This window comes from Homo sapiens, chromosome 8, assembly GCF_000001405.40.
Source record: "Homo sapiens chromosome 8, GRCh38.p14 Primary Assembly".
NCBI lineage: Eukaryota > Metazoa > Chordata > Mammalia > Primates > Hominidae > Homo > Homo sapiens.
The window spans coordinates 65,598,821-65,626,798 of NC_000008.11; the positions used below are offsets into that span (position 1 = coordinate 65,598,821).

Below are 27,978 nucleotides of genomic sequence, written 5' to 3' on the forward strand. Positions count from 1 at the left end.
CCCTGATTAGAGGAACCAATAACTAAGGTTCAAAAGAAGAGAAGCAGGACTTTCCGCTGGATGCCTTGTTTTTTTTTTTTTTTTTTGAGACGGAGTTTCACTCTTGTTGCCCAGGCTGGAATGCAATGGCACAATCTCGGCTTACTGCAACCTCCGCCCCACGGGGTTCAAGCAATTCTCCTGCCTCAGCCTCCCGATAGCTGGGATTACAGGCATGTGCCACCATGCCTGGCTAATTTTGTATTTGTAGTAGAGACGGAGTTTTACTATGTTGGTCAGGCTGGTCTCGAACTCCTGCCCTCAGGTGATCTGCCCACTTCAGTCTCCCAAAGTGCTGGAATGACAGGTGTGAGCCACCACGCCCAGCCCTGGATGCCTATTTTTACAAGACGGAGTCTTACCATGTTGCCCAGGCTAAACTTGAACTCCTGTACTCAAGCAATCCTTCTGCCTCAGCCTTCTGAGTAGCTAGGACTACAGGTATATGCCACCACGCCCAGTTCTGGATGCCTATTTTGAAAATGTTGCCAATGTAAAAAAAAAAATTGTAAAAAGATAAATGAAAATAAAATGAAACAAGAAGTTCACAGTTACCTAGACTGTCCATGTTGTGACATGACAGGTGGTTTGTGCTTTCTTATGCATTTCTGTAATATATTGAGCTTATTTTCATAATAAAATATTTTAAAGATGAGAGTATAAAGGAGGAAATTCCCAAAAAGATTACAAAAAAAGATCTAGAGGGCAGGATGAATACAGAATATTTATGCTATAATAGGCAAGGCTAAATAAAGCAGACTGTTATTCTAACAATGAGATATACAACTGTGCCTTTCATAGTCTGAACTAATCCTGGCAAAACTGTGAAAGGCTAGGCTGGCGACTATTTTGATGCTGCACAAAGCAGTCTAAACTTCAGTCCATAGGCCTTTGTTGACATTAGAGCTGAGAATGATGAAAATACTATTAAGATTAAACTGATATAACAGAATGGGCCATTCTAGGAGGAAGAGTAGCCTATTTCTGGCCGACAGACATTTCTTATGTGGCTCTGGTAGTGTCTGATGGGTCTGGAAGAGCCAGAAAGTCCAAAAGCTGTGCATTCTCAAAGCCAACCGCCCATATGAGGATAATGTGGTTTCCTTTAGACAGGTGCTTTCTGTGTGTTTTCCTGTGCTGTCGCCTGACTAGGCTTATTGCTTTCATGTACCTAACTTTTCTGGTCTCCAGACACTGAGTTTCTGACTGCTAACAGGTACCTGAATTAAGTCACCAGACCAGATACAAGCCAAAGGGTCTGGACTAGAAGGGTGGTGGTAGATCTGGAAAGGCACAGTGGGGGAACACAAGATGCAGGCTGCCTCCTGGGGGTGTAGAGACTCAGAAGCCAGAATGCCCAGGTTTGAGTCCTGGCTTCCCCACTTACTAGGTCCATAACCTGGCACTAATGAGCTACTTAATCTCTGTCTCGTTTTTCCCCATCTGTAAAACTGTGATTTAAGAGTACCTACCTCATAGTGGTCTAGGGTTCATTGAATAAATATTTGTAAAGCATTAGTATAGTGCCTGGCAGAGAATTCATTTTTGTTAAAACTTATTGCATGCCTACCATGAGCTCAGTTCTAATAAAAATTAAAATTCAGACTTTACATTTGATAGGTACTGCAAAGGAAAAAAAGAGCAATCAAAAGTTGACAGTAGAGTGGAGGTTTAGAAATTATCTACAAAAAGGTAATAAAATCCTGACAATAAATGAATTATCCAAGGGAGAAAATTTAGATAAAAATCAAAGAGCAGATGACTAAATCTAAAAACAAAAAACAAAACAAAATAAAAACCGCCAAAAACAAAAACTCTCTGATTGGATGTGGGAAGACGGGAAGATGAGGAGTCAGATAAAGCAAGATTAGAATAGTGTATCACTTGAAGGCCAGGCGTGGTAGCGCACATCTGTAATCCCAGCACTTTGGAAGGCCAAGGAGGGCAAATCACTTGAGGTCAGAAGTTCAAGACTAGCCTGGCCAACACGGTGAAACCCTGTCTCTACTAAAAACACAAAAAATAGCCAGGCTTGGTGGCAGGTGCCTGTAATCCCAGCTACTGGGGAGGATAAGCCATGAGAATTGCTTGAACCCTGGAGGCGGAGGTTGCAGTGAGCCAAAATCGCACCACTGCACTCCAGCCTGGGCGACAGAACAAGACTGTCTCGGAAAAAAAAAAAAAAAAAAAGGTTACCACTTGAGAAACTTCTAGTAACAATAAATCCATTGCACACTGGTAAATTTTTAGTTTTCAAAGCACTCATCTCTCACTGGATCCTAATTAACGGCCCCATGAGGCAGAGGAATCATCTCCATTTTAATAAATCTCCAATTTAGAGATTAAATAAATCTCCAGTTTAGAGATTAAAATATTGCCTAGAATCACACAGCTCATGAGTTATAAAACAGAAAATCAAAACCACTATTTTATATATATCATATTCTCCTGTAAAAATTCTGTAAGAATCAGGATAATTCTAGCTCCATTCAATGGAGCAAATATTATGCCCCCTCCCATTTTTTAAAAATAAAAACCAAATGACAAAATAAATGAAGACATTTGAGACACTTGCTTTTTTTTTTTGAGATAGGATCTCGCTGTGTCATCCAGGCTGGAGTGCAGTGGCATTATCTCAGCTCACTGCAGCCTCAATCTTCCAGGCCCAATCAATCCTCCCACCTCAGCCTCCCAAGTAGCTGGGACTACAGGCACTTGCCACCACAGCTAGCTAATTTTTTTTTTTTTTTTGTACAGTCAGGGTTTCACATGTTCCCCAGGCTGGTCTCAAACTCCTAGGCTCAAGCAATCCTCCCACCTTGGCCTCCCAAAATGCTGGGATTACAGGCATGAGCCACTGTGCCTGGCTGAAATTTGTTAAATATTGATAAATCAGAAATAAGCATGCCCAGAAAAAATACATATAACATTTTTCCTTTTGCCCAACAAGTATATTTATGTTTTACTGATTTTTAAAAAAACTTTGCTCATTCCCCCTAAAAAAAAATCTGAGCATTTACTATAAGTCAGGCACAGCTACAAGGTTAATGTGAAGACTCACATCATTATTGTACCCCATAAATATGCACAAATATTATGTGTCAATGCAAAACAAAACTTAAAAAAGATTCTCTTCTCAGAGAGCTTAGCAGGGGAGAGACACTGTTAAATATGCAATTTTGATATAATGTGATAGATGCTACAATGAGTATATGCACAGGAGCAGCAATCCAATCTGGAGAGAGGCAGGTGTGGTGTCAGGAAGGAAACGAATGGAAGATGCATGGGAATTAGTCAGGTAGCACAACTGCAGGGAACTGGGAAAGTGTGCCAGGCAACGTGTGTACAAACAGGCTTAAGAGTAATCAACATAGGGAAACATCACACACCAGGGCATATCAGGGGGTGGGGGGAAGGGGAGGGAGAGCATTAGGAAAAATACCTAATGTATGCGGGGCTTAAAACCTAGATGACGGGTTGATAGGTACAGCAAACCACCATGGCACATGTATACCTATGATACATTCAGCACATGTATCCCAGAACTTAAAATAAAATTTAAAAATAAATAATCAATAATGCTTATACCACAAGTATATAATATCCACTCGATTTTAATTATGTTACCTTTTATTATTTTACAATGTATTTCAAAAAATGCTGTTACAGTTGTCTTAACTACTCTATATGATCTGGAATAAAGAACTCTTAGAATTAGAACACACAAACATCAAGCTGTAATACCTACTTGTCCTGAAACATTACTACCAAAGGGATGTAGTTTTTAAATAAGCAGATGTGTGGCAATGCAAAATAAAATACAAATTTGTTAGAACAGTAAAGTTTGCTTTAATGGCTATAGAAAGAAGGTGGTTTTATTTTCTTTTTTAAACACATCTGGTTCTGGCAGCAAGTTATATTATGCATTTAGAGCAATAGGTGCCCTGAAAGTTATTGTTGCTTTTTTTGTTTTTTTTTTTTCAGTTTGTGCGTGTCACTTGAATCAGAAACCAAACACATGTAAAAAAATATCATCCTCAATGCCCCCCATTAACTCTCTCTCCAGAAGGTGACAATGTTAGTGAACTCAAGACTCTCACTGATGATGGTATTTTACAATGAAAACACAAGGAAACCCTTTGAGGTCCAATTTTCACATCATATTCTCCAAATAGTAAAATAGCAGCTCTACATGTTGATGAAAAGAAATTTCAATTTCTTCCTATTTGTTTTTACTCATATCAACATTAATATGTATCTGGATTTATTAATTTCCAAAAAGAAAATTTTAGTTACCAAATATTTCAGAAATTTAATAAAGCATTACATATATGTAATTAGCACTTATCTACCAAAAAAACATATGTGTATGTATTTATTTATCTTACCTTCACTGAAGTTCTTTTTTCTGGCTGGACATGAGAAACAGGATTAAGTGATCAATGCTGGCTTTATTTCTTCATAAGCAGTAATTTGGGTCTTTTTCATTCAACACAACGCAGCATTTTCATAATAAATTCACAAAAGACAATACAAAGAAACACCTACTGAATAGAACTCTGTCGAGCAATTCATGTTTTAAAGTTGGACTCTATACCAAACTGGCATTATGGTATTATAGGCATTTGATTTTTGTTTTCTTATTTTCAGTTTGTCAGTTTCTTTACTACCATTATTTTTTTCTAGCCGGAGATAACGTATAATCACAAAGTAAGGCCTAGAGACCATTTATAGTTGTTTGCAATATCATGATCACATTAACTCTCAAGAATTGATATAAGCCAAAGTGAAAAGAAGTCAACTAGAACCACATTTGGTCACATTCAAACAGTCTCCAAAAACACTTCACTAATATACATGTTTCCTTCTTGACTGATTTTGTGTTAATTTTATCAAAATTATAATGAATAAGGCTGCAAAATTTTTGTAGAGTTGTTTTTCTAGGGGACTACTGTGTTCAAATGAATGTTTTTAATCTGCAAAATGTCATTAGTAATGTCCTTTCTATAAACACGGTTGGCAAAATAAAAAGGCACAAAAGAGGGTAACAAGAAATGTTTTCAGCTTTCAGTGAAGAGTACAAAGCATGTACCCTTCATGAAGAAAAGCACAGTAAAATATTCAGTAATTCATGCACAACTTGAGCTACAAGAAAACTTCTCTTCAGGTAGGTCCTGAGGCTTGAAAAGAAAATGAGTTTTCCTAATCACATGCTTCACGTAAAATAAAATGTAAAGCTGCACATACACATGTGGTTTTAACAGTGGACCCATGGTTTTTAAATATGAGGCAATTAAATGAAAGAAAACAAACCAAAATACTTTCATAAACAAAGCAACTCCATCTGTAGCCTCTGTCCTTTTTACCACTCAGTGGGGTAAAATGTCCAATAAAACGTGAAATGCAGCATATGCGATCGTGTAATCTAAAAACTTTTCATGATAACTTATTGCAAATTGCACTTGACAGTTCACCACAACAATGGAAAACTGGCCCCTTGTTGGTTCACACAGTCCTTGAGCCCAAAAGTGAAGTCACCAATAAAATGATCTGGATAAAAAGTTTGCAGCTGTGCTAAGCCAGCTAGCTCCACCTTCTGGGTGTGAGCCGACCCGGGACACCGCTTTGTCCTGTTCCTTTGTGGGACTCTCATCCTCAGGCAGGTAGTCAGGTAGCTCTGTGTTCTGTTCAACTTCCACAGGAGTATCTTGGAATGGGACCAACATCTGATACAGAAAATATTGAGAGTTATTACAAAATCAACTTTACTCCTTATTCTAATTACCGTGGTTATTCTCAGGGTAAATTTTCCTCTTACATGACAGTAGGCCCAATTGCTGAGCACTGTGTCAATACAGAAAGGAGTAAGCAGAGTACAAATAAGAACTCAGAAGTTGATCTGCTGAAATTCTAGGAGTAAATGAGCAACCGCTCTCTGTGTAATAATGACTAAAGCAAGTGTCTAGCCACTGCAGCCACTGGATAGCCATGGAACCTCCCATCTATGAGATGGGAACCCAAATGAGCTCAAGGTATATTTGTTTCCCCCATCACAAAGCTAGTGAAAAGAGTAGCAACAGACAAGGATTTTCACCCTATTTACTTGCCCAGTGGTTACACCTTTATTTTTTGGATTGTCAGGATTAGTTAAGATTAGGAAGAAAGTATTTAAAAATAAATGCAAGGAAGACACATATCCTTTATTTCCATGTAAAATCAGCAAGAGCAGACTCTGATATCCACAAAAGATCTCTCTATATTTCTAAAACAGTTAACTGTTAACCAAGAAACAGCACATCCTTACATACTTGGCACTATTAATTTAGAAATACTGGCAATCTGCTAGCCATAAAAAATAATTGAGAGTGAGTTGGATATAAAGAAAATTAAACACAACTTTTACCTCTTCTCCACTTTCACTTTTCACAACTTGCTGAGCTTTCATAACCTTGGTTGATGCTATTGCTGATGCCAAAGCCTAAGCCAAGATAAAAAGGAACAATTTTGAAATTGATTTGTTTACCTGTAATCTCAAGCATATTCAGTCTTTTAAAATACTTACCTCAGCTTTCAAATCTGAACGGATTCGCACCACACACCTTTGAACAGCCATTTGAAAAGTAAAGCTAATAACACCTTTAATTTTTAACAAAGCCTCTTCACATAGATTTCTCCGAGACTGAAAAAGTAAAAGCAAATTGTTATGAAAATAGGTAAATAAAAGGTAATAAATCAGTGAAAACCAAGCTATATTTTGGAGGGGGGAAGAGAGCAAATGACCTATTTCAGTTTTACCATCTTATTTCAGGGCACAGAGTGGGGGAGTGCTTAGTCAAATTTTTTAAATTTTACAGGATCAACAGAATAGTAATTCCTGCTAAATTTTTAAAGCTTCAATACTAATATGTAGTTTTAATAATTTTTTATCAGAAAGAAGTTAGCCAATGTTAATTTACATCTTAAATAAAGCAGAACACAACACAGGGGGAAAAAATACCAAAAAGAAGAAAAGCAGAGGTTCTTCTAGCTCACGGGTGGGGAAAACTATAGTCCACCAGCTGTTTTTGTAACTAAGTTTTATTGAAACACAAGCACACCCACTTGTTAACATATTATCTGAGGCTAGTTTCACGCTAAGGCAGAGTTAGTAGTTATGACAGAGACCATCATGGTCTACAAAGCCAAAAATATTTACTTTCTGGTCCTATAAAGAAAAGGTTTGGCCAGGCACGGTGGCTCATGCCTGCAATCCCAGCACTTTGGGAGGCTGAGGCGGGTAGATCATGAAGTCAGGAGTTCAAGACCAGCCTGGCCAATATGGTAAAACCCCATCTCTACTAAAAATACAAAAATTAGCTGGGCATGGTGGCGTGTGCCTGTAGTCCCAGCTGCTCGGGAGGCTGAGGCAGGAGAGTCACTTGAACCCGGGAGGCGGAGGTTGCAGTGAGCTGAGATTATGCCGCTGCACTCCAGCCTGGGCGACAGAGCAAGACACCATCTCAAAAAAAAAAAAAAAGAAAAGAAAAGAAAAGTTTTATGATCCACACACTAGCCTAAAAATCTCCAGGGATAAATTCCAATAGACTGAAGTTAGAATTAGTGAGCATTCAGTGTTTAAGTCACTATTCCTTAAATCACCTGGTATTACAAATATCACTGCATCATCCATTTATGGCATTCTTATGGTTACTATTGCATTCTCAAGGGTTAGACATACCCTCTGTGTGGTTCTCATTTTCCTAATACTCTTCAAAACACAATATAACATGTACCCTTCAATACTTCAATGCAGGGTACTACATTATCCTGGTCTTCCACTTTCCCACTGATTATTCCAGCTTTGTCTCACCTTAACTCCAAAGTCCAGTTCCTAAACTGATTTTCTTTCTGCTTCAAACCTCAGAAGACTATTCTCATCACTTTAGCCATCACTAACATTACTAACTCCAATATGACTTTCTTATTTGTCTGTCAGACATATCCACTTGACCATCAAGTGGTCATCTCAATACAAGATCCAAAGTGAAAATGGAAAAAGTAATTGCATTTTCTCCTCATAGCTCCCTCCACCTCTGGCCCACACACCAAATCACACTCTCTACATTTTCTGATTTCTGTATTGAGACCAAGTTTTGATTTATATTTCTGAGGGGTCAATCTGCAACTGACCCACGTGCCAAATCTGTAGACTATATCCAGTTTTCAAACTTATTTCCACATCCTTCAAAACAACTGCTCACACCATTGCTCATCTCCCTACTTCTGCATTTCAACACTACTCAGGGAGACGTGGGACACGTCAGTCTGTGGCACAGCACAGGCCCACAGTGGGCTCATCTAGTGCACTGTGTCTGGACCCTGCTCTGCAGGGGCCTGCATTTGGTGAAGCCCCTTAGAGGACTGGTGCCAAATAGCACCATGTTTATCTCTTCCACATATTCAACACCAGGTAAACTTGAAAGTGAAGTAAAGCTCACACAATATATATAAGTTAGGATACTATTAATCTGATCCCTTATTTTAAATGTGAGGAAAGTGAAAAGTTGAAAAACAACTTGCCTGATTTACCACAGGTAGAGTCTGGTACTAAATGCCAACCACATGCAACAGTGAGAAACGAGATTCATAAGTCTAATTTATCTTTATTTTAACATAAATTAACACACTTTTTTAGCAAGCTTATTGCCTGCCTCCTCCAACTATGCTAGCTCCAAGAGAGCAAAAAGTTTTGCTTTTTGGTCATCGCTGTATCCCTGGTATCTAAAATAATGCCTAACATTAGGTGCTCCTTTTTATTGTAAAAATTAGTACATTCTACCATGTGAACTTTCAGATCAGGAAATAAAGTTCCAAAATCATCAGACTGATTGGCATTATTTTAAGTCCACAAATTTAGGAAGAACTAACATCCTTACAAACTTTCAGAAACAGGCATTTCATTCCATTTATTCCAGTCTTCTTATAATACTGAAGACCTTTAATTTTTTTTATTAAGTCTTGTATTTTCTTATTAAGAATACCCTTGCTACTATCACACTGGTCATTAAGTTTAAAAAAACAAAAAGAAAAAAAGAAAAAATACCCCTGCACTCTTCCTAGCTGTTTGTTTTGTTTGGGAGAGTAAAACTACTTTTCTCCTTTTAAGAAGTAACTGATTTCCATATATTTAATAATGTCACTGGATTTTTAAAATATTTTTAAGAAATTTCAGATCATTCTCCTGGATTTTCTATATTTACAGCTATATCAATAGCAAATTATCAAATTATTGACTTACTGATATTATACTAAAATATTTCACTATGTTAAATCATATTTACAACTCCAGGATAAAACTAGATTGTTTCTAGGAAATTATAATATTGTGATTAAAAGTTCGATTCTGGGCCAGGCGCGGTGGCTCACACTTGTAATCCTAGCACTTTGTGAGGCCGAGGCAGGTGGATCACCTGAGGTCAGGAGTTCAAGACCAGCCTGGCCAACATGGCAAAACCCTGTCTCTACTAAAAATACAAAAAAATTAGCGGGGCGTGGTGGTGGGTGCCTGTAATCCCAGCTACTTGGGAGGCTGAGGCACGAGAATTACTTGAACCCAGGGGGTGGAGGTTGCAGTGAGCTGAGATCACGCCACCTCACTCCAGCCTGGGCAAAAGAGCAACTCTGTCTCGAAAAAGAGTTCAATTCTGAAGTCACACTACCTAGTCCAAAAAATGTTGACTAAGCTAAAGTTACATAGGTAGAGTAAACAGTTAAGTTATTTGACCATTCTAAACTCAACTTCCCCTTCTATTATAACCTAGCACTTTGGGAGGGCAAGGCAGGCAGATCACTTGAGATCAGGAGTTCAAAACCAGACTGGCCAATATAGTGAAACCCCGTCTCTATAAAAATACAAAAAAATTGGCCGGGCATGGTGGTGGGCATCTTTAATCCCAGCTACTTGGGAGGCTGAGGCAGGAGAATTGCTTGAACCTGGGAGGTGGACGTTGCAGTGAGCCAAGATCGTGTCACACTGATCTCCAGCCTGGGCGACAGAGTGAGACTCTGTCTCAAAAAAAATAAAGAAAGAAAGAAGATATACATCTCTCTGTGCTGTCAGAAACAAATGAGAGAATCGATGAAATAAACTTATCACTAGTACCAGGCTATGTCACCAAAAAAAGTTAACATGATAGTACAGTACTAGAATTAACTTGCTAATATTTCATTTTGGACTTGGTAATCATGTTTTTACTATATATTGGCCTATATATTTGTTTGTTTGGTTTCTGCTCTTTTTTTTTTTTTTTTTTGAGACGGAATCTCGCTATGTTGACTAGGCTGGTCTTGAACTCTTGGGCTCTAGCAATCTTCCTGCCTTAGCCTCCCATATAGCTGAGATTACAGGCATGTGCCACCACACCTGGCTAGCCTATATTTTTGTGTGTGCTTTGCTGGGTTTTATTACTTGATTTGTGCTAGCTTTAAAAAGAAACTATATTATTCTTATTCACTAAAATTAAACACATGGTATTGGAGATATTTTATATATCTTAAGATCTTCCAGTGAATCAATTTACCTTTATCAGAACTTGCTTTCTAGAAATTGCCTTGTGACCCCACTTCCAGTAAGATAGCTGTGGACTGATTTGGGTCTGACAATATGCATATGGAAGGCTTATTTACTAAACCCCATATCCTGAGCCTAAGCACCTAAACACAACTAGAAAAAGCTGTGGGCCAGGCGCCATGGCTCAACGCCTGTAATCCCAACACTTTGGGAGGCCAAGGCGGGTGGATCACAAGGTCAGGAGTTCGAGACCAGCCTGGCCAATATGGTGAAACCCCGTCTCTACTAAAAACACAAAAATTAGATGGGCATGGTGGCGGGCACCTGTAGTCCCAGCTACAGGGGAGGCTGAGGCAGGAGAATCATTTGAACCTGGGAGGCAAAGGTTGCAGTAAGCCGAGATCACGACACTGCACTCCAGCCTGGGGGACAGAGCAAGACTCTGTCTCAAAAAAAAAAAAAAAAAAAGAAAAGAAAAAGAAAAAAGCTGTGAATAATCTAATATAACCTACCTGGCATTGCTAAAGAGGTAAGTGGTAATCTACCAACTGCTACCCCTAAATATGTAAAGTTATATAACTTCTCTCTGTGCAAGGTAACTTCAGGGGAACTTCCAGCTGCAGTCCAGATGGATTAACAGGGACCAGATTTAGCCTCTAGAATTAAACAACTAAAAATATAGACAAAATTAAAATTTTTTTGTGTGTGTGACGGGATCTCGCCCTGTCGCCCAGGCTGGAGTGCAATGGCGCAATCTCAGCTCACTGCAACCTCCACCTCCCAGGTTCAAGCGATTCTCCTGACTCAACCTCCTGAGTAGCTGGGATTACAGGCGTGCACCACCACACCCTGCTTATTTTTTGTATCTTTAGTAGAGACGGGGTTTCACCACGTTGGCCAGGCTGGTCTTGAACTCCTGACCTTGTGATCCACCTGCCTCGGCCTCCCAAAGTGCTGGGATTATAGGCGTGACCCACTGTGCCCAGCTGACAAAATAAAATTTAAGGCCGGCTGCAGTGGTTCATGCCTGTAATCCCAACACTTTGGAGACCAAAGCAGGCAGATTACCTGAGGTAAGGAGTTCAAGACCAGCCTGGCCAACATGGCGAAACCCCGTCTCTACTAAATACAAAAAAATTAGCTGGGTGTGGTGGCGGGCACCTGTAATCCCAGCTACTTGGGAGGCTGAGGCAGGAGAAAGACTTGAACCCAGGAGGTGGAGGTTGCAGCGAGCCGAGATTGTGCCATCGCACTCCAGCCTGGGCAAAAAGAGCAAAACCCCGTCTCAAAAAAAAAAAATTTAAAAACCAATGATTTCCAGACACCAGAAAACATGCTTCTATCTGGGCTTGAAGTTTTATTTATGGCATGACTTTTAGCTACAAATTCAATTTCTTTAGCAGATCTACAACTAATTGGGTCATCTGTTTCTTCTTGAGTGAGCTTCGGTCATCTGTGTCTTTCATGAAACCTGTTTCATCTACATTATGAAATTTATTGGCATAAAGGTATTTAAAATATTCACTTATCCTTTTTTTTTTTTGAGATGGAGTTGTGCTCTGTCACCCAGGCTGGAGTGCAGTGGTGTGATTTCCACTCACTGCAACCTCTGCCTCCTGGGTTCAAGCGATTCTCCTGCCTCAGCCTCCCATGTAGCTGGGATTACAGGCCTACACTATCACACCTGGCTAATTTTTGTATTTTTAGTAGAGATGGGATTTTACCATGTTGGCCAGGCTGGTCTCAAACTCCTGACCTCAAGTGATCCACCTGCCTCAGCCTCCCAAAGTGCTGGCATTACCGGCGTAAGCCACCATGCCCGGCCCTCACTTACCCTTTTGATGTCTGTAGGATCTATAGTGGTATCCTCTCTCATTTCTGATATTGATAATTTATGACTTTTCTCTTTTATTCTTGATCTGTCTGACTAGAGGCTTATCAATTTTAACAATCATGTCAAACACCAGCTTTTGATTTCATTGGTTTTTCTCTATTGTTTTTCATTTCCCTGATCTTTCTTGTTTCTTCTCTTCTGCTTGTTGTGGCTTTAATTTGTTCTTCTTTTTCTAGTTTCTTTTTTTTTCTGAGACAGGGTTTTTGTTGCCTATCCAGGAGTGTGTAGTGACACGAACATAGATCACCATAACCTTGAACTCTTGGGATCCAGTGATCCCCTTCAGCTGCTTCTATTTTCTTAAGGTAGAAGCTTAAGTCACTGACTTGATACCCTTTCTTTTTTGTATATAAACAGTTAGGCATCTGGAGCTAATGAATTTCCACTTTAAACTTTGTTTAACTACTTCCAACAAATTTCAGCTACATTTTCATGTATATATCACTTTCACTTTTATTACACTTTCACTTTTTTTTTCTTTTTTTTTTTGAGACGGAGTCTCACTCTGTCACTCAGGCTGGAGTGCAGTGGCGTGATCTCAGCTCACCACAACCTCCACCTCCTGGGTTCAAGCGATTCTCCTGCCTCAGCCTCCCGAGTAGCTGGGACTACAGGCGCACCACCATGCCCAGCTAATTTTTGTATTTTTAGTAGAGATGGGGTTTCACTATGTTGGCCAGGCTGGTCTCAAACTCCTGACCTCATGATCCATCCGCCTTGGCCTCCCAAAGTGCTGGGATTACAGGTGTGAGCCACCGTGCCCGGCCTACACTTTCATTTTTATTCAGTTCACTTTCATTTTTATTTTTATTCAGTTCAAAATGCTAATTTCTCTTTTATTTACTGACTCATAGATTACTTTAGAAATGTGCTATTTAGCTAGGTGCAGTGGTTCATGCCTGTAATCCGAGCTCTTTGCTGGGTTGAGGCAGGAGGATTGGTTGAGGCCAGGAGTCTGAGACCTGGCAACACAGCAAGACTCCATCTCTGCAAAAACTTAAAAATTAGCCAGGCATGGTGGCACATGTCTATAGTCCCAGCTACTCAGGAGGCTGAGGCAGAAAGATTACTTGAGCCCAGGAGTTCGAGCCTGCAGTAGACTATGATTGTGCCACTGCACTCCAGCCTGGGCCACAGAACAAGACCCTGTCCCTGAAAAAAGAAAAGGAAAAAAAAAGAAATGTGTCACTTAGTTTTACAAATGTGGGGGAAATTTTTCAGATATCTTTCTGTTACTGATTTCTAATTTGCATTCACTGTGCTCAAAGAACATGCTTTGGGCCGGGCATGGTGGCTCATCCCTGTAATCGAGCACTTTGGGAGGCTGAGGCAGGCGGACCACCTGAGGTCAGGAGTTGAGACCAGCCTGGCCAACATGGTGATACCCCATCTCTACTAAAAACACAAAAATTAGCCAGGCATGGTGGTGCACACTCGTAATTCCAGCTACTCGGGAGGCTGAGGCAGAAGAGACACCTGAACCCAGGAGGCGGAGGTTGCAATGAGCCAAGATTGCACCACTGTGCTCCAGCCTGGGTGACAGAGTGAGACTCCATCTCAAAAAATATATAAAAAAATAAATAAAATAAAATAAAAATTAGGTTAAATTGGTTGATAGCATTATTTGAGTCTTCTATATCCTTACTGATTTTCTGTATGCTTCCTGTATTGAGAGAGTTGTGTTAAAATCTCTAACTGTGGATTTTTCTATTTCTCCCCATTTCTCTAAGTTTTACTTCATATATTTCGATGTTCTATTATTAGGGACATACATATTTTAAATTCTTATATCCTATGATTAACTGACCTCTTTAGCACAAAATGACCCTTTTTATCAGTAAAATACTGATATCGAGATTTATTCTCAAAGACTGTTAGCAAGTGGCACTGAAGAAACTATTCAGTAAACATGATTTCTCTTTCCCATCTAACAGACCTTACCGTATCATCAAGGCCATCTATATGCAAAACCACTGTTTTGGCACGTTTGTTTGTAGTTCCCAGAAAAAATTGAGCTTTCCTTCGACGTGAATTCATCTCATTAAAACTATCACCATCTGCCATATTGGAGGACTGAAGAATGTCATAGATTTCAGAGGCCAGAAGTTTTGTTTCTCCTGGAGTTGTAGTTCTTGAAAAGAAACACATATATAATTAGTCTTGTCACTTCTACTGATTCTGTAATTTTATTTCTCCACTAAAAGGAGCCTTGTTTCTTTTACTCTAATGCCTTGTTCAATTTAAAAGCAATAGCAGTGAATCCTAGAATAATCAATAATGTAGAAAAAGCATCTTGTCTATAATAATCTTCTAATTTCATTTTAAACCCGTGGCTCATTGAGATTCAAAATCCAACACTATAGAGGTATAAAAACACATTTGGCCAGGCACAGTGGCTCATGCCTGTAAACCCAGCACTTTGGGAGGCCAAGGCAGGTGGATCACTTGAGGTCAGGAGTTCAAGCCTGACCAACATACTGAAACCCCATCTCTACTAAAATACAAAAATTAGCTGGGTGTGGTGGCGCATGCCTGTAATCCCAGCTACTCAGGAGTCTGAGAGAGGAGAATCACTTGAACCCGGGAGGCAGAAGTTGCAGCAAGCTCAGATCACACCACTGGGCTCCAGCCTGGGTGACAGAGGGAGACTCCATCTCAAAAAAAAAAAAAACCACACGTTTAATAAAAATAATCAAATACAAAATCAACTAACAAGATCAGGTTGTAACATGTTCCTGTATTATCACTAACATTCAACTCTCAATTTGAAAGTACCTTGACTTTTAAGAAAATACAACATATAAAAATCCAAAAGGAGAAACCAAATTTGAAAAGGATCATTCATACTATCAACTAATTTCAAGATTTCTTTGTATGTTAAAACCAATTTTTTAATTTACATTTTTTACATATTACAAATTATGTGTTTATCATAAAACCACAGCTCTAACAAAAGTTTTCATTCTTAAGCTTTTAAATCCTACTACAGATCCTCACATCAACATCTAGGGGACTGTGCTGTCCAATAATCTTTCTGCAATGATAGAAATGTTCTATAGCTGCACTCTCCACTCACATGAGGCTACTGAGCACTTGAAATGTGGCTAGTGCAACTAAAAAAAATTAATTTACCTTTAATTAATTTAAATTGCCAAACAGAGTGAGTGGCTAACCATACTGGACAGCACAGTCTAATGGCTCTTATTAGTGGAACTGAACAAAGAGTAAGTACATGTAACTGTAAGAAAAGAATCCTCATTTCACCTATCAATGGGCTCAACTAAGTCCAAACCCTTTAATGTACACTCAAGGCCTTAAAATCTGGCCCCATTTGGCTATCTCCATCAGCTCATTTTGTCCTTCTATTATTCTTTGGGTTGACTATGACACTTGGCCATCTCCTACAAAGACCATGCATTTTTATATGTTCTTTGTTCTAGAATGCTTTCTACCCTTAAGTTTTGTTCAGGTCTTTCCTTAGCTGGAAGAGCTTCACCCAGACTGCAGGCTTTCCAACTCTTATTTCAATGCTTGAAGGGTCAGCTTGACCAACACCTTCTATATAATGCCTCTACCTAATAACCCAATTCTCCCTTTGCATTCAGAGTACTATGCTTGTACTTATACTACTGATCTTAATTTTCTATTTCTTTTATAAGTATATGAACTCTTTAAGAGGAGGAAGGTATCCTTTTTGTACCTTCCATAGAACCTAACAAAAATGTTTGCAAGTTATTTAGTGAATGAGTAGGAATACTTCAATTTCTGATACTCAGATTGTATATGTTCTAGCTACTTAGAGCTTTAATTCCAGGGGTGATAATCTGACAGTATTCCAGACACTCAATTACTATATCAAGTGCTTTTCTGAGCCACTGTTGACCACAGAGATAAGTTACTTTGGGTGACTTTAGCCGTGTGTTACAGAAAGCTATCAAAAGGACTAATTTGTATTAGTTGCCTCAGCATTTTTATTGATAGCTATTTTAGAGTTTATTGAAAAGTCACTGCAGTTCTCAGATATTTTAAATATTAACCAAGAACAAGTTATAAAGAGCATGAAGAGACAATGATTAGAGAAACTTACGAACTTAAGTTAAAAAAAAAAAAAAAAAAACAGGGCCGGGTACAGTGGCTCATGCCTGTAATTCCAACACTTTGTGAGGCTGAGGTGGGTGGATCACCTGAGGTTAGGAGTTCGAGCCCAGCCTGGCCAACATGGCGAAACCCCGTCTCTACTAAAAAAGCACAAAAACTAGCTGGGCGTGGTGGCAGGTGTCTATAATCCCAGCTACTCAGGGGGCTGAGGCAGGAGAATCACTTGGACCTGGGAGATGGAGGTTGCAGCGAGCCAAGATCCTACGACTGCACGCCAGCCTGGGTGACAGAATGAGGCTCCCTCTTAAAAAGAAAAAATGAATAAATAAAATAAAATAAAATAAAGTAGCCAGGTGTGGTGGTGGGTGCCTGTAATCCCAGCTACTCAGGCGGTGGAGGCAGGAGAATCACTTGAACCCAGGAGGCGGAGGTTGCAGTGGGCCGAGATCATGCCATTGCACTCCAGCGTGGGCAACAAGAGCAAGACTCCGTCACAAAAAAAAAAGAAGAAAGAAAAACTGTATTATTGTTACTCCTTTCCATTGTCAATAGTTTTGCATCAACTAGAAAATGAATCATAACACATAATAAAACATCCAATAACTGTCATACATTTTTTGAAAACCTGGATTATTTCAAAACTGTTTAATATGCTTAATGAAGCAATAGTGACAAAAAATATTAAAATACTAAAACATAAATTATCTTTCTGTTTTGCATAAAAACTGTAACAGTAATTCCCTCTCCCCTCTCCCCTCTTCCCGGTCTCCCTCTGATGCCGAGCGGAAGCTGGACTGTACTGCTGCCATCTCGGCTCACTACAACCTCCCTGCCTGATTCTCCTGCCTCAGCCTGCCGAGTGCCTGCGATTGCAGGCACGCGCTGCCACGCCTGACTGGTTTTCGTATTTTTTTGGTGGAGAGGGGGTTTCGCTGTGTTGGCCGGGCTGGTCTCCAGCTCCTAACCACGAGTGATCTGCCAGCCTCGGCCTCCCGAGGTGCCGGGATGGCAGACGGAGTCTGGTTCACTCAGTGCTCAATGGTGCCCAGGCTGGAGTGCAGTGGCGTAATCTCGGCTGGCTACAACCTCCACCTCCCAGCCGCCTGCCTTGGCCTCCCAAAGTGCCGAGATTGCAGCCTCTGCCCGGCCGCCACCCCGTCTGGGAAGTGAGGAGCGTCTCTGCCTGGCCGCCCATCGTCTGGGATGTGAGGAGTGCCTCTGCCCGGCTGCCCAGTCTGGGAAGTGAGGAGCGCCTCTTCCCGGCCGCCATCACGTCTAGGAAGTGAGGAGCGTCTCTGCCCGGCCACCCATAGTCTGAGATGTGGGGAGCGCCTCTGCCCCGCCGCCCCGTCTGGGATGTGAGGAGCGCCTCTGCCCAGCCGCGACCCCGTCTGGGAGGTGAGGAGCGTCTCTGCCCGGCCGCCCTGTCTGAGAAGTGAGGAGCCCCTCCACCCGGCAGCCGCCCTGTCTGAGAAGTGAGGAGCCCCTCCGCCCGGCAGCCGCCCCGTCTGAGAAGTGAGGAGCCCCTCCGCCCGGCAGCTGCCCCGTCTGGGAAGTGAGGAGCGTCTCCGCCCGGCAGCCGCCCCATCCAGGAGGGAGGCGGGGGGCAGCCCCCGCCCGGCCAGCCACCCCGTCCGGGAGGTGGGGGGCGCTTCTGCCCAGCCGCCCCTTCTGGGAAGTGAGGAGCCCCTCTGCCCGGCGGCCACCCTGTCTGGGAGGTGTACCCAACAGCTCATTGAGAACGGGCCATGATGACGATGGCGGTTTTGTCGAATAGAAAAGGGGGAATGTGGGGAAAAGATAGAGAAATCAGATTGTTGCTGTGTCTGTGTAGAAAGAAGTAGACATAGGAGACTCCATTTTGTTCTATACTAAGAAAAATTCTTCTGCCTTGGGATGCTGTTGATCTATGACCTTACCCCCAACCTGGTGCTCTCTGAAACATGTGCTGTGTCCACTCAGGGTTAAATGGATTAAGGGCGGTGCAAGATGTGCTTTGTTAAACAGATGCTTGAAGGCAGCATGCTCCTTAAGAGTCATCACCACTCCCTAATCTCAAGTACCCATGGACACAAACACTGCGGAAGGCCGCAGGGTCCTCTGCCTAGGAAAACCAGAGACCTTTGTTCACTTGTTTATCTGCTGACCTTCCCTCCACTATTGTCCTCTGACCCTGCCAAATCCCCCTCTGCGAGAAACACCCAAGAATGATCAATTAAAAAAAAAAAAATTAATCACACCTAAAATATACCTTTAATTCATGGCAACAACACACACTGGGAACGACTAGACAGGGGCAAGGGTTGAAAAACCAACTGTTGGGTACTACGCTCACTCTCCGGGTGACAGGATAATTCATGGCCCAAACCTCAACATCAAGCAATGTACCCATGTAACAAACCTGCTCATGTACCCCTGAATCTAAAATAAAAGTTGAAATTATTAAAAAGAAAAAAAAAAAACTGTAACAGTAGTTCTTAGCCAATTAAGGCAGTATACTAATTAATCCTTTTTTCGGCGGGGGGGGAGGGAGCAGACAGAGTCTCACTCTGTCACCCAGGCTGGAGTGCAGTGGCGCAATCTTGGCTCACTGCCACCTCCACCTCCCGGGTTCAAGCGATTTTCCTGTCTCAGCCCCGTGAGTAGCTGGGATTACAGGTACGTACCACCATGCCTGGCTAATTTTTATATTTTTAGCAGAGATGGGGTTTCGCCATGTTGGTCAGGCTGGTCTCGAACTCCTGACCTCGTGATACACCCGCCTCGGCCTCCCAAAATGCTGAGATTACCGGCATGAGCCACGGCACCCAGCCATTAATCCCTTTAAGAACCTAATGTAAGGCCAGGCGCAGTGGCTCACGCCTGTAATCCCAGCACTTTGGGAGGCCGAGGCAGGTGGATCACAAGGTCAGGAGTCTGAGACCATCCTGGCTAACACGGTGAAACCCCATCTCTACTAAAAATACAAAAAATTAGCCGGGCGTGGTGGCGGGCGCCTGTAGTCCCAGCTACTCGGGAGGCCGAGGCAGGAGAATGGCCTGAACCCGGGAGGCAGAGCTTGCAGTGAGCCAAGATTGGGCCACTGCATTACAGCCTGGGTGACAGGGTGAGACTCAGTCTCAAAAAAAAAAAAAAAAAAGAACCTAATGTAAAGTGTCTCACCAGAAAACTCCAAGTGAAAAGTTTTCCACATCAATTTCAGTGGAATTATGTCCCCACCCAAACCATCCATTTTCTAACAGTCTCAACACAGACATTTAAATTGTTTTTAAAGTTGATTTCAAATTAAACAGGGAAGGAGAACTATGATGTCAAGAAACCATCCCAATGTTTGGAAAAATCTAATAAAAAGGTAACTGTCGGGCCGGGGCGGTGGTTTACACCTGTAATCCCAGCACTTTGGGAGGCCGAGGTGAGCGGATCATGAGGTCAGGAGACCGAGACCATCCTGACTAATGCAGTGAAACCCCATTTCTACTAAAAATACAAAAAATTAGCCGGGCGTGGTGGCACGTACCTGTGGTCCCAGATTCTTGGGAGACTGAGGCAGGAGAATCGCTTGAACCCGGGAGGCGGAGGTTGCAGTGAGCCGAGATCGCGCCACTGCACTACAGCCTGGGCTACAGAGCGAGACTCCATCTCACAAAAAACAAACAAACAAACAGAAAAAGGCAACTGCTGGTAAAAGCATCATAGGTATCATTTGAAAACAGGGATACAAAGACAAAGATATTTACATCTTTGACTTAGTAATTCGCCAGTAAAATCTGTTAGGAAAATAGTCCATGAAACAAAAATAATCCAAAAACAAAAAAAGCCCTAGAGGCAGTTAAGCAAAGAAATTTTAGAGCAGGCCAGGGGTGGTGATTCACCCCTGTAATCCCAGCACTTATAGAGAGGCCGAGTGCAGGTGGATCACCTGAGGCCACGAGTTCGAGACCAGCCTGGCCAATATGGTGAGACTCCATCTCTACTAAAAATGCAAAAATTAGATGGGTGCAGTGTCACACACATGTAGTCCCAGGTACTCAGAAGGCTGAGACAGGAGAATCGCTTGAAACCGAGAGGAAGAGATTGCAGTGAGCTGAGATCACAGACATTGCACTCAAGCCTGGGTGAGAGTGAGACTTTGTCTCAAAAAGAAAAAAAAAGAAATTTTCGAGCAGCTGGGCATGGTGGCTCACACCTGTAATCCCAGCATGTTGGGAGGCCGAGATAGGAGGATCACTTGAGTCCAGGAGTTCGAAACCAGTCTAGGCAACATGTCAAGACCCCATCTCTACAAAAAAATACAAAAATTAGGCCAGGCGCAGTGACTCACGCCTGTAATCCCAGTACTTTGGGAGGCTGAGACGGGCGGATCACCTGAGGTCAGGAGTTCAAAATCAGCCTGGCCAACATGGTCAAATCCTGTCTCTACTAAAAGCACAAAAATTAGCCGGGCATGGTGGTGCGTGCCTGTAATCCCAGGTACTTGGGAGGCTGAGGCAGGAGAACTGCTGGAGCCCAGGAGGCAGAGGTTGCAGTGAACCAAGATCGCGCCATTGCACTCCAGCCTGGGCAACAGGATGAGACTCAAAAAAAAAAAAAAAAAATTAGCAGGACATGATGGCCTAAGTCCCTGCTGCTCAGGAGGCTAAGGCAGGAGGATTACTTGAGCCCATGAGGCAGAGGTTGCACTGAGCTAACATCGTACCAGCCAAGGTGGCATATTGAGACCTGGTCTCAAAAAAAAAAAAGACAAGAAAAGAAAAATTTTAGAGCAGCACTCTACATCAGAACTTTCTGAGATGATGGAAATAGTGTCACTAGCCACATGACTAAACACTTGGAATATGGCAAATGTGACTGAGGAGCTGAGTTTTTAATTTTAATTAATTATTATTATTATTACTTTTTTTTTTTTTTTTTTTTTTTTTGAGAGGGAATCTCATTCTGTCGCCCAGGCTAGAGTGCAGTGGTGCGATCTTGGCTCACTGCAACCTCTGCCTCCCGAGTTCAAGCGATTCTCCTGCTTCAGCCTCCTGAGTAGCTGGGATTACAGGTGCCCGCCACCTCACCTGGCTAATTTTTATATTTTTGGTAGAGATGGGTTTTCACCATGTTGGCCAGGCTGGCCTCGAACTCCCTACCTCAGGTGATCACCTGCCTCCCAAAGTGCTGGGATTACAGGTGTGAGCCACCACTCCCTGCCATTAATTTTAATTAATTTAAATTGCCACATGTTGCTATTGATTACCATACTAGACCCGTTTCAGAAAAAAAAGGAAGATGCTTCTGTTGTCATCCTTAAGCCAGCGCTCCTCTTCCTGGTTAATCACTGCTTCTATCCCTCTGACTAATCACTTCTCTAGCATCCTTTCTGAACTGAGGTCCTGTAAAAGAATTTAGTTCCATTTAAAAAAAAACACAACTATCTGGGCAGGATGTGATGGCTCATGCCTGTAATTCCAGCACTTTGGGAGGCTGAGGCAGAAGGATTGCTTGATCCCAGGACAGCAGCCTAGGCAACATAGTGAGACCATGTCTCTACAAAATAATTTAAAAATTAGCCAGGTATAATGGCACATGTCTGTAGTCCCAGCTACTTGGGAGGATGAGGTGGGAGAATAGCTGGAGCTTGGGAGGTTGAGGCTGCAGTGAGCCATGATCATACCACTGCACTCTAGCCTCAGCAACAGAGCGAGACCCTGTCTCAAAAAACTAACCAAACAAACAAAAAAACCCAGAGTTATTATTTTCTCAATTACTCCAAGGATAGTATAGAGCTGAAACCATTCCAGATACATTGCACAGAAGATAATCCATTATATCCAATGGATTCCTTAGGGCTTTAGGGCTTAATTCTCTTATAAACCAGTTCTAGTGGCTTCCACATTAGCAGCAACAGGATGAGGGGAGAAATAGCCAAGTATTCATATTCATATTAACAATGTGCAAAGTGGGGGTATGCATGCTTATGATTGCCAGTATAGCTACTGAGGCTACTCACACTATTTTAATTATAAACTTAAGAATTTACTACAAAATTATATTACAAAGTCACACAAGCTTCTGTCTACTTAGATAAACAAAGCAGTTACAGATGAGAGATCAGCAACCATGGTTATATAAATTTTATTTTTTGAGACACAGTCTCGCTCTGTTGCCCAGGCTAGAGTGCAGTGGTGGGATCTCACCTCACTGCAATCTCCACCTCCCAGGTTCAAGTGATTCTCCTGCCTCAGCCTCCCGAGTAGCTGGGATTACAGGCACGTGCCACCACACCAGGCTAATTTTTGTATTTTTACTAGAAACGAGATTTCACCACGTTGGCCACGCTGGTCTTGAACTCCTGGCCACAAGTGATCCGTCTGCCTTGGCCTCCCAAATTGCTGGGATTTCAGGCATGAGCCACCATGCCCAGCATGTATGAAATATTAAATGCCTCTACCAGCACCATCTTAACTTTCTTATTTTATAGTTCCACAGTTTTACCATTTTCCTACAGTAATAAATTACTTCTTGACTAATTTGTAATTTTTCTCTACCTAAAATTGAAATTTTTTTTTTTTTGAGATGGAATCTTGTTCTGTCGCCCAGGCTAGAGCGCAATGGCACGATCTCGGCTCACTGCAACCTCCACCTCCGGGGTTCCAGCGGTTCTCCTCCCTCAGCCAGCTAAATGATTAAAAACAGTTAACTACAGGACATTAAAACATAGTAATCCAATAATAGTAGTAATCATGCCTATAATTCCAGCACTTTGGAAAGCCAAGGTGGAAGGATCGCTTGAACCCAGCATGGGCAACATAGTGAGGCCCTGTAAGTAAGTAATATAAGTAAGTATATAAATAAATGAGACACTGTCTATTGTACTTACTTCTGTATAACATTTTGTAAGCTCAACATCATACCCAGTTCTCCTTTCATCTTTTCTCTGTTTGCACGGCATTCTGCCAAGTATCGAAGAGCCTACAGCAGAAGAAGTAATAAGTTAATTCGTCTGTCCAGACTATTCAAAATTGAAACTACTACTAATTTACTGCAAGAAAACAAAAAAGGAGAAAATAGGTTTTTGTTTTTAGAATAAAATCCTTTAAATGAGATGATTCAGAATTATTCCCTAGGGAAGAAATGATCCTTTGAGCTGTAGTAGCTGATCTACTCTTCGAAATGAAGGTTCCTAACTTAGTCACAAGGTCAAAATTAGGTTGTTCTGGTTTTACTTTCACCACTTCACAGGGATGGAACTATATTCCATTTAGTGGGGAAGTGAGCTGTGATTGCGCCATTGCACTCCAACCTGAATGACAGAGTTACTGTGCCTCAAAAGAAAAAAAAAAGGTGGCGGGGGGAACGACGTGGGCACAGTGGCTCACACCTATAATCCCAGCACTTTGGGAGGCTGAGGTGGGCAGATCAAGACCATCCTGGCCAACATGGTGAAACCTCACCTCTACTAAAAATACAAAAATTAGCTGGATGTGGTAGCATGTGCCTGTAGTCCCAGCTACTTGGAAGGCTGAGGGAGCAGAATTGCTTGAACACGGGAGGCGGAGGTTGCAGTGAGCTGAGATCACGCCACTGCACTCCAGCATGGCAACAGCGAGACTCCATCTCAAAAAAAATTAAAAAAAAAAAAAAAGGCTGGGCGCAGTGGCTCACGCCTGTAATCTCAGCACTTTAGGAGGCCAAGGCGGGTGGGTCACGAGGTCAGGGGTTCGAGACCAGCCTGACCAACATGGTGAAACCCCATCTCTACTAAAAATACAAAAATTAGCTGGGCATGGTGGCAGGTGCCTGTAATCCCAGCTACTCAGGAGGCTGAGGCAGGAGAATTGCTTGAACCGGGGAGGCGGAGGTTGCAGTGAGCCGAGATCGTGCTGCCGCACTCCAGCCTGGGCGACAGAGCAAGACTCCGTCTCAAAAAAAAAAAAAAAAATGCTGGGCGCTGAGTGGCTCACGGCTGTAATCCCAGCACTTTGGGAGGCCAAGGCAGGCCGATCACTTAAGGTCAGGAGTTCGAGACCAGCCTGGCCAACATGGCAAAACCCCGTTTCTACTAAAAATACAAAAATTAGCCGGGCATGATGGCACGCACCTGTAATCCCAGCTACTCGGGAGACTGAGGCAGGAGAATCGCTTGAACCCAGGAGGCGGAGGTTGCAGTGAGCCGAGATCACACACTGCACTCCAGCCTGGGCGACAGAGCAAGACTGCATCTCAAAAACAAAACAACCAAAAAAAACCACCATCCATATCAAAGACATCATAATTATTTGCTGAAAATCACTAATAAAGTTCCAGAAGAAGCCAGAAAAAGGCATTATATAAGGTAAGAACAAGAATTACGGCAGTTTTCTTATTAGAAACCGTACATGCCAGAAGACAACAAAGTAAAATCTTTTTTTTTTTTTTTTTTTTTTTTTGGTGTGATGGAGTTTTTGTTCTTTCGCCCAGGCTGGAGTGAAGTGGCACAAACTCGGCCTACTGCAACCTCCACCCCCCGAGTTCAAGCGATTCTCTTGCCTCAGCCTCCTGAGTAGCTGGGATTATAGGTGCCAGCCACCACGCCTGGCTAATTTTTGTATTTTTAGTAATGATGGGTTTTTGCCATGTTGGCCAGGCTGGTCTTGAACTCCTGACCTCAGGTGATCCACCTGCCTCGGCCTCCCAAAGTGCTTGGATTACAGGCATGAGCCACCACGCCCAGCCAAGACCCTGTTTCAAAACAAAAACGAAAACAAAACCCAAAAAAACAAAAATGAATCTATATTGGGGAATAAAGAACACCAGAAATGTAAAAATGAAGGTAAATATAAAAGACCTTTTTTTGCTAGGCATGGTGGCTCACGCCTATAATCTCAGTACCTTGGGAAGCTGAGGGGGGCAGATCACCTGAACTCAGGAGTTCAAGACCAGCCTGGCCAACATGGCGAAACCCTGTCTCTACTAAAAATACAAAAATTAGCCAGGCATGCTGACATGCACCTGTAATCTCAGCTGCTAGGGAGGCTGAGGCAGAAGAATCATTTGAACCCGGGAGGCAGAGGTTGCAGTGAGCTGAGATTGCGCCACTGCACTCCAGCCTAGGTGACAGAGCAAGACTCCATCTCAAAAAAAAAAAAAGACATTTTTAAATTTTTAATCTCTTTAAAAGATAATTGACTGTTTAAGGCAAAAATATATACACTGTAGGTTTTTAAACATATGTAGAAGTAAAATGTATGACAAAAATAGCACAAAAGATGGGAGAAAGAAATGGAAATATACTCTTGTGTGATTCTTACACTACATGTTAAGGGTATGATTCATTTAAAGGTAGGCTGTAAGAAGTTAAAGATGCATATTGTAAAACCTACAGCAACCACTAAATAAATTAAAATAAAAACAAAAGTGTATACTAATAAGCTAACAGTGACGAAAAAAGGAAATCATAAAAACAACACACCCAATGGCCAGGCATGGTGGCTCACACCTGTAATTTCAGCACTTTGAGAGGCCAAGACAGGCAGATCACCTGAGGTCATGAGTTCGAGACTAGCCTGGCCAACATGGTGAAAAACCGTCTCTACTAAAAATACAAAAATTAGCCACATGTGATGGTGCGGGCCTGTAATTCTAGCTACTCAGAAGGCTGAGGCAGGAGAATCGCTTGAACCCAGGAGGCGGAGGTTGCAGTGAGCCAAGATTGTGCCATTGCTCTCCAGCCTGGGTGGCAAGAGCAAAAACTCTGTCTCAAAAACAACAACAAAAAAATCTTTTCTTCAGCCTCTTGGGAACTTTCACTCACTGATCCCTCTCCTTAGCTCTGTCCCTCCATGACTTTATACTTCCCTTCCTATTCAGCCTAGTATCTACTGTATATCATTTCAACCAATCCTGCCAAGATCCTAAACTCCCTTGCACAATCATTCTGCCCAACTTAACCTGGCCAAGTAACAACTCTAGACAAATCCAAGTACTTGGCTCTGTGAGCCTACAACAGGCCTGAATCATATCGATTCAGTATTACCAAACTAATCAGCCCTCAACACTGCTGAACAACTTTATCATTCTCCTCAGTTAGCAAATCTTTCCTATTTTCTGCAATTATGAGAGCCTTCCCCTCAAACCTCTCCCATTCTAGTAGCCCTTGCCCTCTGAACTTAGACATATTCTAGTCTATTTAAAAATAAAAAAGACTTACTTCCTTTAGCCCCAAGTCCCTATCTATAGATCAACCCCCTCTTTCTTCTCATCCTTCTTGCATTTCTTATTGAAATTGAACCCAGACTGGGGACTGTGCCATTTTTCCCATTTGTTACTACTGTTCTCTTACACCAATGTCTTTTTTGACTGCTAAACTTCATTCTGTAAAGGCAAAATAGAAATTTTTTTCCAAAAGGAAAAGTCTATATGCCTTCTGTACAAACTTGTGAAATTAGACTAAATGGGGAATCATCACGAGTCCTTAAGTAAAGGGCAATAGATAAAATTTCCAAAACATTAATTTTTTTAACAACTTTTTTTTTTTTTTTTTTGAGACGGAGTTTCACTCTTGTTGCCCAGGCTCGAGTGCAATGGCACAATCTTGGCTCACTGCAACCTCTGCCTCCTGGGTTCAAGGGATTCTCCTGCCTCAGCCTCCTGAGTAGCTGGGATTTCAGGCACCCACCACCACGCCCGGCTAATTGTTTTGTATTTTTAGTACAGACAGGGTTTCACTACGTTGGCCAAGCTGGTGTCAAACTCCTGACCTCAGGTGATCCACCCACCTCGGCCTCCCAAAGTGCTAGGATTACAGGAGTGAGCCACCACGTCTGGCCCTATTTATATGCAAAATATATAGGCATTTTTGCCAGAATAGGCAAATATAGACATACAAAAAGTAGATTAGTAGTTGCTTAGGGACAGGGAGTGTTGGGGTCTGGGAAGCAATAGATAAAAAGTTGTGGTGGGCCGGGCACAGTGGCTCACATCTGTAATCTAAGCACTTTGAGAGCTCGAGGTAGAAGAATCACTTGAGGCCAGGAGTTTGAGACCAGCCTAGTTAACATAGCTACATCCTATCTCTACTAAAAAAAAAAAAAAAAATTTATTTATAATAAATAAAAATAAAAAGTTGTGGTGATGGTGACACACAACTCTGTGAATATACTAAAATCACTTAATTGTATACTTTAAATGAGTGAATTATATGATGCTGTGTGCTTACATCTTAAAAAGCTGTTATAAAATAAAAACAAAATAAGTGCCTCTTTGAGTGTCTCTGTGTATGATATGATCCAATCCTCAAGATTGTTAAATGAAAAGGAAGTGGTAGGACATTCCATGCATGGAGTATGCAACAATTTGTATAAAAGAATAAAAACAAGGCTGGCCATGGTGACTCACAGCTGTAATTCCAACACTTTGGGAGGCCAAAGTGGAAGGA

The 27,978-nt window shown here is 41.9% G+C and overlaps 1 protein-coding gene across 5 annotated transcripts in view, besides 1 other annotated feature; it reads right to left on the reverse strand.

Moving 5' to 3' along the window:
* Positions 1-3,637: 3,637 nt before the first annotated feature.
* Positions 3,638-27,978, reverse strand: part of ARMC1 (armadillo repeat containing 1) — a 31,720-nt gene continuing 7,379 nt past the window's right edge. For 2 of the 5 annotated variants that reach the window (NM_018120.6, XM_047421926.1), the window contains exons 3-7: positions 23,443-23,534; positions 14,424-14,613; positions 6,602-6,718; positions 6,443-6,517; positions 3,638-5,765 (exon numbers count right to left, since the gene is read on the reverse strand). In NM_018120.6, coding sequence (NP_060590.1) covers positions 5,574-5,765; positions 6,443-6,517; positions 6,602-6,718; positions 14,424-14,613; positions 23,443-23,534 — 666 coding nt within the window. In that variant the 3' untranslated portion in view covers positions 3,638-5,573. The remainder of the gene's footprint in view (positions 5,766-6,442; positions 6,518-6,601; positions 6,719-14,423; positions 14,614-23,442; positions 23,535-27,978) is intronic. The other 3 variants (XM_005251264.3, XM_047421927.1, NM_001286702.2) reach the window with 2 other exon arrangements.
* Positions 17,289-18,071: an enhancer, noted in NCBI's record as "H3K27ac-H3K4me1 hESC enhancer chr8:66528344-66529126 (GRCh37/hg19 assembly coordinates)". NCBI's record gives its function as "activates a minimal SCP1, AML or CMV promoter by ChIP-STARR-seq in primed H9 embryonic stem cells {active_cell/tissue: H9 hESC(primed)}" and the evidence as "EXISTENCE:reporter gene assay evidence [ECO:0000049][PMID:30033119]".